An 18,865-nucleotide genomic window follows, 5' to 3' on the forward strand; every position below is an offset into this window, starting at 1 on the left:
CAAAGTGCTGGGATTACAGGCGTGAGCCACCGCTCCCGGCCCTCAACTGGATTCCTGATCTGTGTTCTGCGGCACTGGGAGGGCACAGTATGGTTGGGAGGGCATGTAAAGCAGCCTTGAGTTCTGAGCCTGAGTCTTGCCTGAGAAAGGCTTCCCCTGCTTCTCAGCAATCCATTGTTCCCTGCCAGTGGTTCTCAAACTTGAGCAAGCATCAGATTCACCAGGAGAATTAGTTAAAACATACACTTCTATCTTCCTCCCAGCTACTGATTCAGTAGGTCTGAGGTAGGGCACAAGCATTTTGATTTCTAACAAGTTCCCAGATGATGTCAATGCTGCTGATTTGGAGTGCACACTTTGAGAACCCTTGATTTATGCTTACTTCTAGTGTTTCAATGTCAGAATTTCTGCCCACATGCTCACATACAGGAGCCAACATTTTGTTTTTAAACTGCCTCCTCATTTCATGACCACTTTTGTATTGGCTGAAATCAGTATACTCTATGTATATGAGAAAGGGAGGCTGGGGGAGGGGGGTGGAGGAGAAAGAGAGAAAGAGAAGCAGTAAAACAGTAAGTGCTTGGCTGGAGTTCACAAAGTGTTTGATGTCTGAAAGGCAGAGAAATGGTGGTGCTGGCAAGAGAAAAAGGAAACAAAGCTATGTCTAGCCACACCTCCTTCCTTTTAACCTCTTGCGCATCGTCATCGTTCGTAATTATTTTATCCCCTTAGCAACGGGCTCATTTCAGGCTCCCATTCTCTCTACTTTAAAAGTTTTAAAGACTCTTACTAGGCCTCCTCTGCCCATTGGCCTAAAATATTCTCATTTAAGACTTTTCCCTGTCTAGCTTGTAATAATAGGTCCTGCCTCCTCACACTTAAGTTGTATGATTGTATCTTATTTTTTTTAAGAAAAATAGTAATTTTCCCTGAATAAAACCAAAGTACCATAAACTGCATCATTTGAAACAGGGGATGTGTGGGCGACTGATTTCAATTGAACAAATATGAATCATGTTCTTGTGAATCATGCTTCCCTACACCAAGAAAGAAATAACCCTAATAATTTTAATAGCAGTAGACATAAAGAGAATATAAGTAAAATTCAGAATTTTAGAAACAATTTGTGGTAAATTTAAAGAAATCATGGATTATTTCATCTTCCCAAATACCAAAGCGGATATTGAGGACTATATATAAATTTGTTCAGAATTCCTATTATGTAAAGGTTATTGCAGGGTACAGTGTGCTGTAGTGATATCTGCTGATTTTTCTCTGTGATAAATTATATATTACATATTATTTAAGTATATTATACTTAAAGCTGATGTCCCTTTATCCCTCTACCACCACCTCACTGATTATCGAGGCTTTAGAGAAAATAGCTGGTTGCACTAGATGATTACATGCCTCAATTGGATAGTAGCTTGTTGCCAATTATCATTACAGTGCCATATTGATTTTTTTTCTTGTTTCCATTATGGAAATTAAAGCAGAATTTGTTTAAAATGAGCTTCTATGTATATTGTGGATGGCGATTGGTTCTGAATATGAGCTATTTTAAAAATATATTTTCTTCAGTGGTGTGATGTCTCTGATATTCCCTTAAAAATTTAGGTCTCTGCTTTGTTGATAAGATTTACCTTAGGTAGCTATGAAATGGATAAAGACTGGAATGGAATGGTTTAAATATAGACAGCATAGATGTTATTATTTCACATAAGTCTATATATTGATTTATGTTTATGATGTTCTTGGGTAGTATGAGATTGCTTATTCTATTAACCATACAGCCAGTAAATTTAATTAAATTTAAATTAGCAAATACTTACTTAGTGTTGGCTCTATTTAATATAAATATTTAGTGGCTATATATGAGCTACCTTGCTAAACACTATGAAACATAGAAATATTAATGAAATGATATAACTATCTTTAGAGAATTTACATGCCAAAGGGGTAGGTAAGACATGGCAAGAATCATTATGATTATGTCAAGCAGTAAGAGATAAATATTACATGGAGATTTTGAGGAAAAGGAACTCATTTGATCGGAGGAATTACAGGGGAAAACATTAATGACTTAAAACAGCCAATTTTAGTTTTAAATAGTTGGGAGAAATGGAGTTGAGGTTACTTTCTGGGAAGAAAGAATAAATGAGCTAACATGAGGAAGTGCAAGGTGGGCTCCAGCAATGATAATTTGTCTGATTTTATTGGCACATGTGTCTTAAGGCCTGAGGCTGGAAAGGTAGATTGAGGCTACATCAGAATGTTGAGCCAAATGATTTAAAATGTATTAAGTAGTCCAGGGAAAATTTTTGGACAGAAAACTTTGGTTGAGGGCAATTTAATCTGTCATTTTATAAAATGATTAAGAGAAAAGAATGAAGTTGGGGAATCACCAATTGGGAGTCTCCAGGCTTATTAAAGGAAAGATAACTAGGACTAAACCAGAATGTTAGCAGAGGCATTGGAAAGGAAGAAAGGGGCCATTTGGAGGAGGCATTCTAGAAGTAGAAGTAGAAGTAGAAGTAGAATATTTGTGAATAATGCTCTACATTAGCAGTGTTTCAGCCTTCTGCCACACAGGAGAATTTATGTCCAGCCAATCTCCTAAACCTGCGTACTCAGCTCCTGCCACATGGGTCTCCTCACAGTTCCTGGAACATTCTAAACACACTAGCTAATGCCTCATGACCCAATTTGCCCTTAATCCTTCTACTTGGAAAGTCCTCACTTTCAGAGTTCTGCTGAAATACCTAACCTTATCAAAGAATCTTTCCTGATCACACAATGAAAAATAGCAGCCTGCCACTCCTTTCATTCTATTTTCCAAGGTTTATTTTTCTTCATTGCATCAAAGCAATTATTACATTTATTATATAGTTAGTTATTTGTTCACTGTCTCCCTATCTCTAGATAGTAAAGTCCATGAGGCTAGTTGCTTAGTTTTGTTGCTTGTTATGTATCTCTCTCACCTAGAACATGCTTGGAACTTTGTAGACACTCGACAAATATTTGTTGACTGAATAAATAGAATAAATGCAAAGGTGAAAGAAATGGGTCATCAAATAATTATGCCAGTATTTCAAGTCTGAAGAATTAAAAGGGTAGTGATGTTATTAATAAAGTATCAAAGAGTGGAAGATAAGTTGACTTAGGGGTATGGAGACAGAGGAAGATGAATTCAGCTTGTGAATTCATGCTTAAGTATGTCATGCTGGTGAAACAACCAAGGCAGTGCTGTGTAATGGGCAATCTAAAATGTGGAGAAGTCTAGGATTGAGGCAAAGATCACTGAGTCATCCTCATAGAGTCAATACTTGAAGCAGTGGGAATTGAAAAAATAATGACAAGCAATATTGAGACAGAATTATCAGATTTGAAAATTAAAATTTTATTTTGGATATTTAATGTTTTAAAATTACTAACTTACTTATACATCTAATTTTTTGTTTATTTCTCAGCTGGGTTAACAACTTTGGCCATGAAGGTCTTGGACTCTTATTGGATGAGCTGGAAAAGCTTCTGGACAAAAAACAGTAAGAATAAACACTGAAATTAAAATCACCAAAGGGAAAATGTTTCAGCACAACATAATATACATTTTTCTTTTATTTAGGCAAGAAAATATTGACAAGAAGAATCAGTATAAACTTATTCAATGCCTCAAAGCATTTATGAATAATAAGGTAAGTAGTATTTATTTCTGCCCCTGTCACAAAAGGTGGGAACTTGCCCAACACTATGAAAGTATGAAATGAACAAAATATTTTTTTATTATTTTTTTTAATTTCCAGGGTACATGTATATAGGCGAACATGTGCCATGGTGGTTTGATGCACAAATCGACCCATCAACCTAAATAATAAACCCGGCATGCATTAACTCTTTTCCCTCATCATCTTCCCCACCCCGTACCTATTTTTTACTTATGTTTCTGCTGTACTAATTAATTGTAGACTAGTTATTACAGGCTTATAAATAATAAGTGTTTATAAAGTTTTACAGTGAGGTTAAATACACATTTGAAACCATATATAAAAGATAAATTTGATGTTTAATTTTCCAAAATGTGAGCTATTGTTAGTTTTCTCGATTTTTTTTTTTTTATTTCTATGCTGATATTTCATTTTAACCAAAGAAGTCCTCACAGCATCCAGAGGATTTCAGGGATGATATAACTTCTGTAGATCTAAATCTTTTAAAAAATGGAGCCCTATTCCAATGTTTCTTCTATTCAAATATATTGCTTTCATATAGGGAAGATAGATAAAACAGTACTTTCCATTGTCTATGCTGCTAATTTCCTCAGGAGGGTGAGCTAGTCAATGAAACAAACAAAAAAAATGATTGGAAAAAGTGTATTTGACTCTTGTCTATAATTTAGAAATGCTGTGTCTGATTCTTATTCTGTTTATTCCTCCAATAATTTCTTTCATGTGAACAGAGGTCTTTTTGATTTTATAGTATACTAAATGTTCAGAAAACATAACAAAAAGAAAGAAATGAACAAAATAGTGAGTGCTTGTTCAGTTTACAAAAGGGTCTTTATGATGTAAATCCTTATAATATTTAAGTAATACTTACATGAAAGTTATACTTTGCTTCACAAAATATTTATTGGTGGGTTTTTGAAATCATGCAAATGAATTAGTGTTGTTCCCAATTTTGGTAATAATGCTTTTTCTTTAATGGTAGTAGGAAAATTTAAATGTCGTTTGTTGAATATGTTTCCACACAGAGAATTTCTGTTCTATTGAAAAGGAAAATTATAGGGATGGGTTGACTTATTTGCTAAGAACATTGTAAGATTGAGATTTCTCTTTCTTTTATGTTTTATTAATGTCAGCAAGTTTACATACATATAAGACATCTCTGAAAAATTGCAGGGCTTTTTATGTATATGTATAATACTAGTTGTATTATAAGGGACCCTGTGAATTTTAGACAATAATTTTTCTTCTAAAAATAGACTTTACTCAGGTTATGAAGTTACAGTATTTTTTCTATAAACTATTTTTTTTACTGTCTTAGAAATGACCTCTTCATACCTATAGATAAAATACTATTGACTAATTCACTTAATTACCTAATTCCCTTTACATAGTATTTTAATAATCTCAAAATAGATAATAGAAATAATTACAACAACAAGTAGAAGTTTGCCAAATGTAAAATATGGCTATTAATAACCAATGCAATAAGATTATATATTAATCTATAGACAGTCTCAAGCATATGGAAATACATATAAGTATTTATATATTATACATACATGTATCAGCAAAGAATGTTACTGTATGAGCATATGCAATGAATGCTTGCTAGTGGACATGAGACTCCTGAATATGCTAGTTGTACTGTTTCTGGAAGTTTCTTACAGAAATATTCCCATCACTACTAGTACAGATTTTCTCAAAATCTGGGCTCTTAGTCTTTGGCTACAAAGTTAAACAGAATCTGATGCCCAACAAGGAAATAATGAGCATTGCTTCTTCACAGCTCAAGATAGATCTCTTTCGTCAATTGAGGGAAACAATGACATAATGGAAAGATAACACAGTTCTAGAATTCAGGAGATATATATAGTTCATGCTTTGTTCCTAATAAGTTGTGTGGCCTTTGGAAAATTACTTGACCTCTCTGAGTATCAGTCCCCTCATCTGTAAATTTAGCTATAGGACACTTTGTTCTAAATTCTTATTGACTCATGTTGTCAATTGTCGTGGCTTTTCAGGATGCTAAGTAATTTTAATCAGGACAGTCACTAGAGAGAGTCATAATAGTAAGATTCTTATAGAGCCCTTTTTTTTTTTAACAGAACATACTTTGATTTGTCAACATTTAGTTTCTTAAGAGTTTGGCAGTTTCGGAAAGCATAATGATTTGACTTAGATTATTCGAAATTGATGTTTTTAGTTAGGCCACGTTAATGTCTTGCACATAGGTGCTCAGAGCATGGATTAATGGATCTTTTGAATTATAGACATGTGAAACAATAGGCATAAAATATGCCTTCAGAATAGAAAATATGCAGTGATCTTTTCACTTCATGTTGGAATAAATTGTCCAGATCAAGGAATTAAGCTTTTATCCAAAATGACTTACACATCAAATTTTTTGGCCCCATGGAGTTTAGATTACCTACTTCAAAAACTCCTTTCTTTTATCCAATACATGTAACAATAGGATCATAAAAAGCAACCCATTGTTTCTTAACTTCCAGTACTATAATATTGCTCTGATGTTTGGATTAATGATTTTCCAGATATATTTTTCATGTCTTCTTTTTTATTTTTGATGTGTCTCTATATATTAAAAACTACTTATAAACATTAAGTAAAATTTTTAAAACCTAATGATTTCACTCTCAGTCTCAATGACTCATAAAGCTATTAAGTTTGGTAATTGCGTGGTCATTGTCTCTCAGTTTTGCAAATGTGTTTTTCACTAATATTCATTACTTTTAATCATCTACTGGCCACCTTTATACATACTTATCTATTTTGTTTTTGTTGCTTCTTTCAAGACTTGTTTCTTGCATTTTCTTTTTTTTTTTGGTCTTATCTCCATATATTTTCCTATTTATTATGACCTGTGATAAACTCACATTTAAGAGCTTTAGCTATGTTCCCCATCTGCCACTCGGAGTTCTTTTAGAAATTAAATTAGGGCTGATGGAACTATTCATATGGTTGGTAATTAACTGAAGTTTAGCTGAAATGGAAATTTTGCTCCGATGAAATATCCAATTTCACCATTAGACTGTAAAATGAAGCAAAAATATTTTATAAGAAATCTGAAAAATACTTTGTGGGACAAAGATAAAATAATATATTGCTTTCTTAATGTAATGAAAACTCAAGTTTTAGACTTTCATTAGAATTTCTTTACTTATTTATTAAGTGCGTGCATGCACACGCATGCACACACATATTCATGCTTAGAAAATAAATGAAAATGGTGTTTTCTCTCCTTAGTTGACTTGTGACACTTAATAAAACCCAGGTGCCATTTCTTTAGGTTCACAGCTTTTGTAGTGCAGCACAGCTGTCTGAATCAGGGAGGATAAGAGAGAGAAGGCATGGGAATATCCATACTGAGGCTTATACTGGCATATAGTATTCAAAAGAGCCTTTTAAAAAAAATTTCTCTTTTTCTTCACCTTAATTTTTCATACAAACATATTGGACAATTTAACCACGAATTCCAGACATCTCCAGGGAGACCCAGTGACATAAGTAGAATCTTACTTTAGAAAATCATATCAGTATGCGCTTTATATGTTATTCTTTGTTGAAGAAATACTGATTGTTCCCATATTTCTCCAAATTTATGGAATTTTTAGGGCAGGCTAATGGAGATATATCTGATCAAGGAGCAACAACTCCAAGATGCAGTGATTTCATATAAAAAACAAAGACAGATAACTGCATTTGAAGAATATTCATATAATTAGGTAGAACCTCATTGTGGGGGTATGGGTTTTTGGAAGATCATTGTACGTTGCTTTTTTAAATTAAAGATATATTCCATAGACATTCTGAATGAAGGTTTTTTTTTTTTTTTTTTAGTTTGGATTACAAAGGATTCTAGGAGATGAAAGAAGTCTTTTACTATTGGCAAGAGCAATTGACCCCAAACAACCCAACATGATGACTGAAATAGTAAAAATACTTTCTGCTATTTGCATTGTTGGAGAAGAGAACATGTAAGTATTGCTATATTATTATATTTGCTGCATGGAAAATGACACTTAAGAAATTAATAAGTCCTACTTTTGTTCTCTTTCTTTGGATAACTTTCATGAAAACAGTATTTTAGATAATTTTTGATTGAAATTTTTATCTTGCCTGTTTATATTTTGGCTTCTTTGTTGACATTATAGAAACTCAGTTTAAACAGATAAAATCCTAGTGGGAAATTCTTGAAAGTTGGATTCAAAGTGATTGAGCAGAATTTTGTTTTGCTGGAGGTACAGCAATCATTAGAAAGTGGACAAAAATCAGAGAGTTATTTTGGCAAATACACACACATACATACACAAATACTGTGCTGCATATCACACAATTTGAATAGATGCCTTTATTTTACATTATCTTATAATAGTATTTTACTTTATATGCCATGGTAAATGAAAATTATTTGTAAAGTGAAATAAACCCACCTGTTAGAAAAAAACGGTTGTTGATAATTATTCAAAGTGTATATGTGCCACCAAATGCAGCAAGTTGTTGCTGAACATGCATTTGATCACATCTTCTTATGGAAATAATATTGAATCAGAAGCAAACTTTCAGATTTGATGACATTAATAAGTCTAGTTTGTAATGAACCCTTGTGATAAAGAATCAAATATCTGCTAAGGACCCGAACCAAAATATTTCCTTGGAACACTTTGCGTGACAGTAATAATGTCAATTTGAGTCAGAACAGGACTATGCAAAGATTTAAGGATGTTGGAATATGTTGACTTTCTCATAACTGTTAGAGTAAAATGAGATGTTGCTTAGTGTTAGCTACTGTCCTCAGAAACCAAAAGACAAACACTAAACAAAAATATTATCATATTAAGTCTCACCTCAATGATAACAAACTGAGAATGAGATAACATATGTAAAAGCAAGGATCCTTAGGATTTTATTTTTTAAAAGTCAGTTTATACATGTGTAAGAAATATTTTTTAATCACTTAGATTTTCAATATTCATAAAATACAATGTAGTCCAGTATAACTGTTATGATTTAATTATAATTTCAGATATAATTTGATAAGAGTAGTATACTATATAGAGATTAATTTGTTTTAGGCATTGTGTGGAGATACCAATATTTTTGGTCAGGTTAATAAGTTTCTTGTGCTAGATAATTATACATTCTTCTTTAATCACCTGGGCTTTCCTTTTTAGAGTCTTTTTTCTTTTTCCATTGTCAAAAAATGTTGATTAAAAAAATTCTTTAAAAAATAATCACTCTTTCCAGAACTTTATTATAAAATTACAATCTGTTTATGCTCCAATAAACTGTTAACAATTATAGGTGTCATATTATGTTTAAGTGATATTAATGTTAACACATGAAATATCAAAACCTGAAAATTTAAATTTTAATGTTTATCACTTAAGTATTCTTTTTTTAATGTCACCCAGAAAAGTTACTTTCCTTAAGATTTTTAAAATCGAATTTTCCTTTTGATGCCCTAAAATTATTTAGAGCTATCAATATTTGCCTTAAAGAAATATACGGACAGGAACACAATTCCTATATTGTAATGGTCTTTCAGTTAGACTGGAGGAATCAGTTCAAGAAATCTATTTTATGTGATAGTGACTGTAGTTAATAACAGTGTGTTGTATACTCGAAATTTCCTAAGAGTGTATGTAGACTTTAATTGTTCGTACCACAAAAAAATGTAAGTAGGCGAGGCAATATATGTTAATTAGCTTGATTTAGCCATTCCAGTATGTATACATATTTGAAAACATACAATTTCCATCAAAAAAGCAAATGATAATTTTTAAAAATTCTAATGGTATATATAAACATCAAATACCAGAAAGAAAACAGGGAATACTGAAAGGACCGGTGCTCATAGTGTCTGTATAAGAAGTATTTCTCATTTCTGTTTCTTCTTTTTTCTCTACAGTCTAGATAAACTTTTAGGGGCTATAACAACAGCAGCAGAAAGAAATAACAGGGAACGATTTTCACCAATTGTGGAAGGTTTAGAAAATCAGGAAGCCTTGCAATTACAGGTGAGTTAGTTTTGTCTTAAATTGCTTCTAGAGTTATATTTAGAGTACTCATTTTGTATGACATCAACTCCATTTTAGCTGGCATTTAAGTAGTATGGAATGTAAAACTAAAATTTTTTCTGTTGCTAGTTTGTGAGAATTGCAATTTGTTTAAAATTAGGAAAAATACTTTTGAATTATTATAAATGTGGCAGTTATGGCTGTCATTGATATTTAGACAAGAATTTAGTAATTAATGTAATAAACCAGGGAAATTGAAGCCTCAGCAGTAACTAAGGTAAAAGGGCAAGCAGTTCAGCCAATGCCATTATCCTAACAAGTGTTAGTGAAGTCGGTGGGCTTGTAGAAATGTAAGACAATTAAACACATCTCTCTTTGTGCCATTCAGACAATATTCAAAGGTGTGACTCACCAGAATAGAAGGGATTGAATTGCAATTCTTAGGTTAGCGTTAATTTGATAGCCCTGTGTAGACACAACTTACTAAATGCCTCCTTTAGAAAATGACAAAACTCACTATCTTTACCTAGATGGTTTCAGGAAATGATCCATTTTATGAATAGCTCTGTTCTTGAGGGATGAGAATGCATATTTATTGGCTGAACTTATGGTATGAAGTCCTGCACTAAACATTTTAATTTGCATATATTATTTGATTTAATTCTCACAACAACCTAGATATGAAGGTATTGCTATAGTATCTTTGTTTTGCTTATGGGACGAATAAGTTGAATGAGATTAAATAACTGGTCTAACGTGACACAGTTTTTAAGTGTCACAGTCGGAATTTGATTCCAGGTTTTTGGTCTCTGCTAATCTCTCTTTTAGACAATGCATACCATTTAATGTACCATGGAAAATTCTCTGAATTTTTTTTTAGTTCTCATATTGTTGTTCAACAAAGAGAAGGTAGTTTCCACATTTAATTTTATCAAGCTACTTAGCATCGAATGTTTAACTCTTCAAATTTCTTGCTTGATGTGAAACAAACACAATTAATTTTTTATGTATTATGAAGTATTTTTTGTATTATGTATTTTATGTATTATGAAGTATTTGTATTTTTGTTTGCCAGAGTTTGAAACGGCATCAGATAGATGAATTGGCTTGTCTAAAGAGAATCTGTAATGTTACAAAATTGTAATACCTCTCCAAATGTTGAAGGATCTTTGTTAATCATGACTTCTACTCCAACTATATTGAAAATTTTGGATCAACTTTTATGGTGTACTTTTATGTCAAATGTATTATTTATTTATTTATTTATTTATTTATTTATTTATTAAGATGGAGTCTCACTCTGTTGCTCAGGCTGGAGTGCGATGGACGTGATCTCAGCTTGCGGCAACCTCTGCCTCCCAAAGCAATTCTCCCTGCCTCAGCCTCCCAAGTAGCTGGGATTACAGGCATGCACCACCAAGCCTGGCTAATTTTTTTATTTTTAGTAGAGATGGGGTTTTGCCATGTTGGCCAGGCTAGTTTTGAACTTCTGACCTCAGGTCATCCGCCCACTTTGGCCTCCCAAAGTGCTGGGATTATATTACATATTTTAAAGATTAGTATATTTTTTCCCAGTGTTTTTTAATAATACATTGTTTCTTATAAAATTTAATCTTGATAAAATTTTATACCTCTACTGAAAGGTTGAAAACTGCCTTTTTTAGATGACTTTGAAAGTTTTGTTCATGTTCCTGTGGTTGGGCTTACCTAACTAAATTTCACTGGTTTTTCAGATATATGTGTATGTTTGTACTTCTCTTCGAAAGTTTGTTGAGTAGGAATGAACTCTTTTATTTATATTCAAAGTTTTCATTACATTGATATATTTTTAAAATCTTCTTTAAATAAATTTTTAGCTACAACTCTGTGAGTTATGTATTATTACCTCTGGTTTACTGATCAGGGAATTGAATTGGTGGAAGGCACTCCAAAATCACCCAGCTGTGTAAGGGATAGAGCTGTAATTTGAACCCATGTCTTTGTGATGCCAGAATTTGAATACGGCATTGCCTATACTTTGAAGGGATGCCTCTGCCAATGAGTAGTTCACCCCAAACAATGAGATGGGAAAGACATTTGCTAGCCTTCAGGAAGCTGGACAGAATGGAATGATAAAGTGACAAATTGTTAACAAGTAACATATGGAAGAATCATAGATGTCTTGTTAAGTATTCAATAAATTGTTGAATACTGATTATAGATGCAAACATATGCAGACCACAATTTAAAATTTCACATTTTAATGAGCTACAAAATTAGTAATTTGTTATATACAAAAACTAGTACTCTCACAAGAATTGTGAAGTGAGTTTGTTTATTTAGACTATTTAATGTGAATGAAAAGATGTCCTCTAAAAGTTCAAAAATACATGCAGAATACAGAAACAAAAACCCAAAAGTTTAAATCTGTTGTTTAAAAAATATAATTAGTGTTGTATTTTAACAGAATGACTTTTCTATTTCTGTAGTATCCTGAGACTTCCCAAAATGTTATTACAGTCTCGGGAAGTAATTTTGTTAAAATACAGGACTAATTATTTTTTAAATAACAACTATATACATTTTCCCCCCTTTTTGGGGTTTTAAAAAAGGTTATTAACTTCTCACAGATTTTTTTTCCTAGCTTTTAAAGTGAAATTTTGTACCTATGATAGGATTTTCATTATCTTCAGGAGTTCAAGAAATAGGTGGAAGATAAATCGCATATCTTCATACACTCTCTCTTCATTGACTTTCCTTCAGCTTAGTAGCATTCTCCGGTCTCTTTTGCAAAGCACAGATTATACACCAGCAGCTTCTTTTGATCTGACTTAACCTTCTAACTAGCCTCTTGTCTCTCTTTTTCATTTTAAAGTCCATGCCTCTAGAATAATCCATATTTGTTTTCTATGTTTTCTAAATTACCTTTTACAACTCTATTACAGTTCTCAAAAAGATTTACAGTGAGTGACTAATTTCAAAATCCAATGGCCTCTTTCCAATCTTGATCACTTGGCACTGTTGATCACCTTCTTCCTTGAAAATTTTACTTCCCTTGACTTTCTAGGCACCATTCTCTCCTTTGTTCTCTACCTTTATGGTTTTTTTTTTTTTTTCTGTCTTCCTAATGTATTTCTCCTCCTCTTACTTCCTGGGTATTTTGTTCCCTATGTTCTATCCGTGGTCCTCTTTTAGTATCATTTTATGTACATACATTCATATGCACATACACGTATCTACATGTACATGTATATACATACAGACACATACTTTTTTAAACAATTTTGTCCATGAATGTTCTGAATTGCTTATCTAGTTTTACAATCCAACTGTGGTAGTGATTCTTCAGATTTATACATCCAGCTCAGTGACTGGTATCATAAAATTAAGAAATTAAAAATAACATTTACAACCCATATGCCGGACAGTGTTTAAAATACTTTAATATGTTATCCCATTTAAACCTCGCAGCAATTGATTGAGAGAGATAGAAGTATTATCCCCATTTTATAGATAATTAAACTGAGGCTCATAAAGGTTAAATAACTTCCCTAGGGTCACAGTGTGAATAGAAGGGAAAGCACAGATTATACACCAGGGAGTCTGGCTATAGATAACGTGCTTTAACTACTAAGCTGTAACTCCTTTTATATTAAAACTTAGCTTATATCTCTTTCTGTTAACCTGATTTTTCCTAAGTCTTCTCTTCTTCCTGTGTTTCCTATTTTCGGTTATAGAGGTATCATCTTCTACCCAATCTTTAATTTTCCTCAACACTTCTTTCTTTTTTGTCCCCTGCATTCATCATCAAGTCTTATTACAAAGTATAGTATTGACTGTGAATCTAACCCATTCTACTTCCACTGCCTTTATCTTCTCCCACCAATATTATTTCAACAATTTCCTAATTAGTACCCATACTGACATGTTTTCTCTCCAGACAATACCCTACACTATTGTCAGTTATCTGTAAAAAATGAGTCCAATTCTAATACATTATCATTCTTAAAAATCTATGCTCATGACCCATTGCTAACTTTTTCATTGTGGTCCTAACTTAATATTCTGGCCTTTGAGCCTGTCATTCTCCCAAATGTACCATATGTTTGCGCCATACTACATTTGGTGTTTCCCAGATATGCTGTAGACTTTTAAATGCTCTCAAACATTTTATCATGCGGAACACTTTGCCTGAAATACCTGTATTTCCCCACCTATATCTGTTTCTTCTGTGTCTTGCATAAGTCTGGGAAGGCTTCAGTAATGAGGTGATATTTTAACTAGGCCTCGAAGGACAAGTAAGCATTTTTCATAAATTATCTTTGCTGATAGAGAAGCAGTACTATGGTAGGATGAGAGGTGAAAAGGGCTTCCAGGAGGTAAAATAGAGGCCAGAATAGTCTGGCAGTCACTTCATAAAAAACAGTGAGGTAATACCAGCATCCAGTTGAAACTGCTTTCTAGATAGCCAGGTAGGAAAACCTAAGGTATACTGAGCATGAATAATGGTTTATAGAACGGGAAAGTAGTATAGTTAAAATACAATGATGTACTATCAAAACAGCCCCAGTCTTCACAGGCTGCTGTTAGTTTGAAAGGTGCCATGTTTTTACAATATTTCAATATATACAAAGAAGTGGAGTAGCATAATTTAATACATTTAAAAACTGTTTTCTAAGATGCTGAAAATAATAATGAACTCTGCACATTTTGTAATTAGATATGGTACACAAAAACAGAGCTGTAAATATGCCCTTTCCTGATGTGTGATAGCTTCACTTACCCAGTCCTCGCCTATTTAATAGATTTGTCCTTTGGAATACAACTGAGAACTAAAAAATAAAACAAAAATTAAATAAAACAATCTGAGCAGCCTACAAATGTCACCAGATCTATCAAGTAAGCCTCATGGTGAGAACGACTTTTTGGCCTTTAATGAGAGCCTATTTATTCTCTTTTCATATGTTATCTTTACGAACCCAATTATCTGTTTTACATCCACAGCAGACTAGAAGTGCAGGTTGGAAGGTTGGGAGAGAGTTTATTCCAGAATCGTACACTGGAATCATCAAGAAGTGACAACTGATAAGCTGGCAGCAGGGGAGGGGTAGATAGAAATGTAATAAAAGACTGAAACTGGAATGCAAATGATAACAATAGACTTCACAGAGCGCAGAGGCTAGTAGCCCTGCACACTTCAGTACCTCCCGAGATACTGAGTTACACCATACCTCACTAACTCACATATTTAGTGATGACCCTGACTCAACAGGAAATTGTTAAATTATATCTAGTTTATTTTGCGTAAGAATGTGGGAATTATATAATTCATTTCAGAGAGTGTCCCATGTGAAACAAGATGTTGATACTTAAATAGATAAACAGATATATGGAACTATCCTATGTGGCTTGATTCTTTCCACAGTGGTTCTTGAGTGTTGAGATTTTACTGCAAGCATACTTGTAAATTAGCCATTAATGTACTCAGACCATCACATATGAGGGAGTAGCTTTGGACAAAGTATTAATCATTTGTCAGTGAAAGTGCATTTATAAGAAAACAAGGCATCGAGGCTTATGAATATGGAGAAAATTTGTGGAAATTAGCATTTATAAAGTGTTGAATGACTGCTTGATATTACTTAGGAAACTTGTTCTATTTATTGACAGTTTTATATTATTGTCATTTAGAAAATAGATTACTATAATGGGAGGTTGTTTAGAGATATTTGTACAATGTAGTCATTTTTGGTATTGACACAAAACTAACTTCTGACTTAAAGAAGGATGCCTTTATTTTAAATCTGTTTCAACACTGAATAATTGTCAAACCTATCATTTTCAGTAATAGAGGGTTGCCAGTGACCTCCATGATATAAAAAGGAACAGGCTGCTTTTGAAGTCATTATATTAGCTTCCTCAGCACTATTTGGCACTATTGATCACTCCTTTATCAAAGCTCCCTCCTCCCTTGACTTCCATGATACTAAACTGTATTAGTCCATTCTCACATTGCTATAAAGAGCTACCTAAGGCTGGGTAATTTATAAAGAAAAGAGGTTTAATTGACTCACAGTTCCACAGGCTGTACAGGAAGCATGACTGGGGAGGCCTCAGGAAACGTACAATTGTAGTGGGAGGCGAAGGGGAAGCAGGAGGAAGAGAGAGAAGGGGAAGGTGCTGCACACTTGTAAACAACCAGATCTTATGAGAACTCACTGAGTATCACAAGAATAGCAAGGGGGAAGACCGCCCCCATGATCCAGTCACCTCCCATCATGCCCCTCCTCCAACACTGAGGATTACAGTTTGACATGAGATTTGAGTGGGGATACAAATCCAAACCATATCATAAGCTCTCCTTGTTTTTCCTTCACCTATGTTTCATTTAAATTCTCTTATTTCTATGCTTGACCCTTAAATTTGCAGATTCCTAGAGCTTGATCCTCAGTCCTTTGGTACTTTGCTTTTCTCATATTGATGATCCTTGGGCAATCGCATCTATCCTCACAGCTTCAATTAACTACCACTCATATGTGATGTCTTTATCTGATCTCTTCTCTTCCTCCCAACTCACAGACCCCATATGTTCAGCTGCCTCCTGACTAGATTTCAAATTCAATATTGTCCTTAAATATACTTATCTTCCTTTTAAAAAAAATCCTTCTCCCTACTCTAATCCTCTCTCCAGCCTTGACCTGCATTTCTCTTGTATTCCCAATCCTGGTTGACCTTAGTATTACCTACCAATTAGCATATAGCAGAAACATACTAGTCATCTTAGAATCTACCCTTACTCCATCTTCCATTCCATTAGTCACCAGATCCTATCAATTCTATATCCTTAATGTTATATTTCCCTTCCTCGACATGGTATCCTTCTCTCTCCACCCTCACTGCCATTTTTAATTTCAGAGCATTGTTACATCTCACTGTTTTATCCTTTCCCTATGTTCTATTCTTCATTATGGCCCCGTTTAAATTATCTTCCCCAATGTTGTCTTTCTGAAATGCTTTTCTCAGAAATGCACTTCAGAATGCTTAAAGTCCAGCATTGGCTTCCCATAGTTCACTGCTTAAAGTCCAACAATGGCTTCCCACAGTCTCCAGAATTGCAGTCTAGTCCTAGCCCAAACAAAATACTTCATCTGGCTGTTGCTTTCTCTTTCGCCTCATATTCCACCACCCTTCTACATATGTTTTTAGTCTAGTCATATTGTGCTTTGTTTCCTATAGATTTTATGCTGTTTTATACCTCTACCTTCATACCTTTGTACATGACTTCCGTTGGCTTGGAAAGTACTCCACTTCTCAATTAACTCGCTCTGTACATTCACATCTTTCTTCTCTCATACTTTGACTTAAATCATCTTTGTTCCTAACTCCTGCTGGGCTAGGATAAAGAAAGACCTTGTTAATGTCAACAGAGTACTTAATAAGGTCAAGTGTGGAACAGTGTCAATAAAATTTTAAATGTACAATTTGTCACAGATAATGGCAATATGGATAATCTGTCTGAGAATGCCCTGGAGTTGTCAATTATTGTACCCCATAGCTCTGTGAATTGTGATTAAATAGATAGATGTTTGTATAGTTTTCAAGCCTGTAAGTTAAAGTCAGTAAAAGGTTCTAGCATTTTTCCAGTAATTTTATGAAGATATTTGTGTTCAAATATTTCCCTTTCTCTGTCACTTAGGTAAACAACAACAACAAAAAAACTTAAATTTCTTTTTGTAATGCTATGTCTTATGCCAATAAAATTGGAAATTTTTAAATGTCATTCACTTACTATATTTTAATTATTTTATTTGGGACAGTTAAGTGTTACAAATAAACCCTAGGCATATACAGATGAGCTTTGCCTTTTGAAAGTTTATCATCTGTTTTATAATATTTCACCCTTTATACCATACCACCCCAGAATGAAGACAACAGCATCTGGTGACTAAAGAATGTAGATGATTATTGTAGAAATAAAATAAATTGTTATAGTAAAGGAAGGATCTTAATGTGGTAGAAAACTGATAATGATTCAGTGTAGTATATAATTATACATGACATAAATGATTGGATACTTTATCACATGCACAGAACTGGTAGTTTTTAACTATGTATGCTTATGTATTCATTTAATAGGATATATATGCATCTCATGTTGAAATCTTATGACATCACTGAATGAAAATGCAAATATAGAAACCAATTGTATTTACTAATTAAACATCAGAATTGTGGCCCTAGCATATGTATTAATAATGGAGAAAATTCACTGATTTTTTGTGACTTTAAAATTTTGATCCTCATGGAAGCTGTATTTGTAACAATAGATATGGCGGACCATTTTGAAACATAGCCATTATAAAGACACTAAGCAACAGAGCAACTCTGGATAATGGACTTTGTGATATTCAATTCAAGGGCATTTGTTTTCTTTCTAAGATCAGGAGAAATGATATCAAGCAAGATTTGTGCGATATAATGTGGTAGAAAAAATGCAAGGCTAAAGGTCAAGAGAGCTGAGTTCTAGTTGTATCATTGGGGCTTATTAGTTATGTGATCTTGGGCAAATCATCCAATCTTTCTAGGTTTTCAGTTTCTTTACTTTTAAATAGCATATTGGACCAGAGTATTTTATGTTCTGTCTAGCTTTAAAATCTCATGATTATTTTCTGTCTCTGGAGTTGAATTTTTTTTTTTTTTTTTTTTGGAAAGCAGATTGATTTTGCATTGTTAGAGGACAATAGAGTACACTCATCTCTTAAAGATTTATATACTTGGAAGTTGAGCATATGAATTTTGAAATTTTCATTATTCAGCAATGAGTTTTGTAGTTCTTTGAAGTGAAGGTTTCAGAGATTAGGCCAGATCTCTTTTTTTCTTTAAAATCTCCAGTGTAGTGCTATTCAATCAAACTTTCTCCCATGTTCTATATCCCTGCTATCCAATGTGGTAGCTACTAGCCACATGTGGCTGTTGAACACTGGAACAATGGCTAGTGAAACTGAGCAACTGAATTTTTAATTTTATTTAATTGTAATTAAATTAAACTGTGATAAGTAGCTCCCATATAGAATAGCACAGTACTGTAGAGCGTGTGTGTGCGTGTATGCATGTGTTCACATGCAT

The 18,865-nt window shown here is 33.3% G+C and overlaps 1 protein-coding gene across 2 annotated transcripts in view; it reads left to right on the top strand.

Annotated features, from left to right (window-relative positions):
• Positions 1-18,865, top strand: part of DIAPH2 (diaphanous related formin 2) — a 920,156-nt gene that overhangs the window by 224,016 nt on the left and 677,275 nt on the right. For both annotated transcript variants that reach the window (NM_006729.5, NM_007309.4), the window contains exons 6-9: positions 3,471-3,545; positions 3,626-3,695; positions 7,581-7,717; positions 9,652-9,760. In NM_006729.5, coding sequence (NP_006720.1) covers positions 3,471-3,545; positions 3,626-3,695; positions 7,581-7,717; positions 9,652-9,760 — 391 coding nt within the window. The remainder of the gene's footprint in view (positions 1-3,470; positions 3,546-3,625; positions 3,696-7,580; positions 7,718-9,651; positions 9,761-18,865) is intronic.

The sequence above is a fragment of the Homo sapiens genome, chromosome X (assembly GCF_000001405.40).
Source record: "Homo sapiens chromosome X, GRCh38.p14 Primary Assembly".
NCBI lineage: Eukaryota > Metazoa > Chordata > Mammalia > Primates > Hominidae > Homo > Homo sapiens.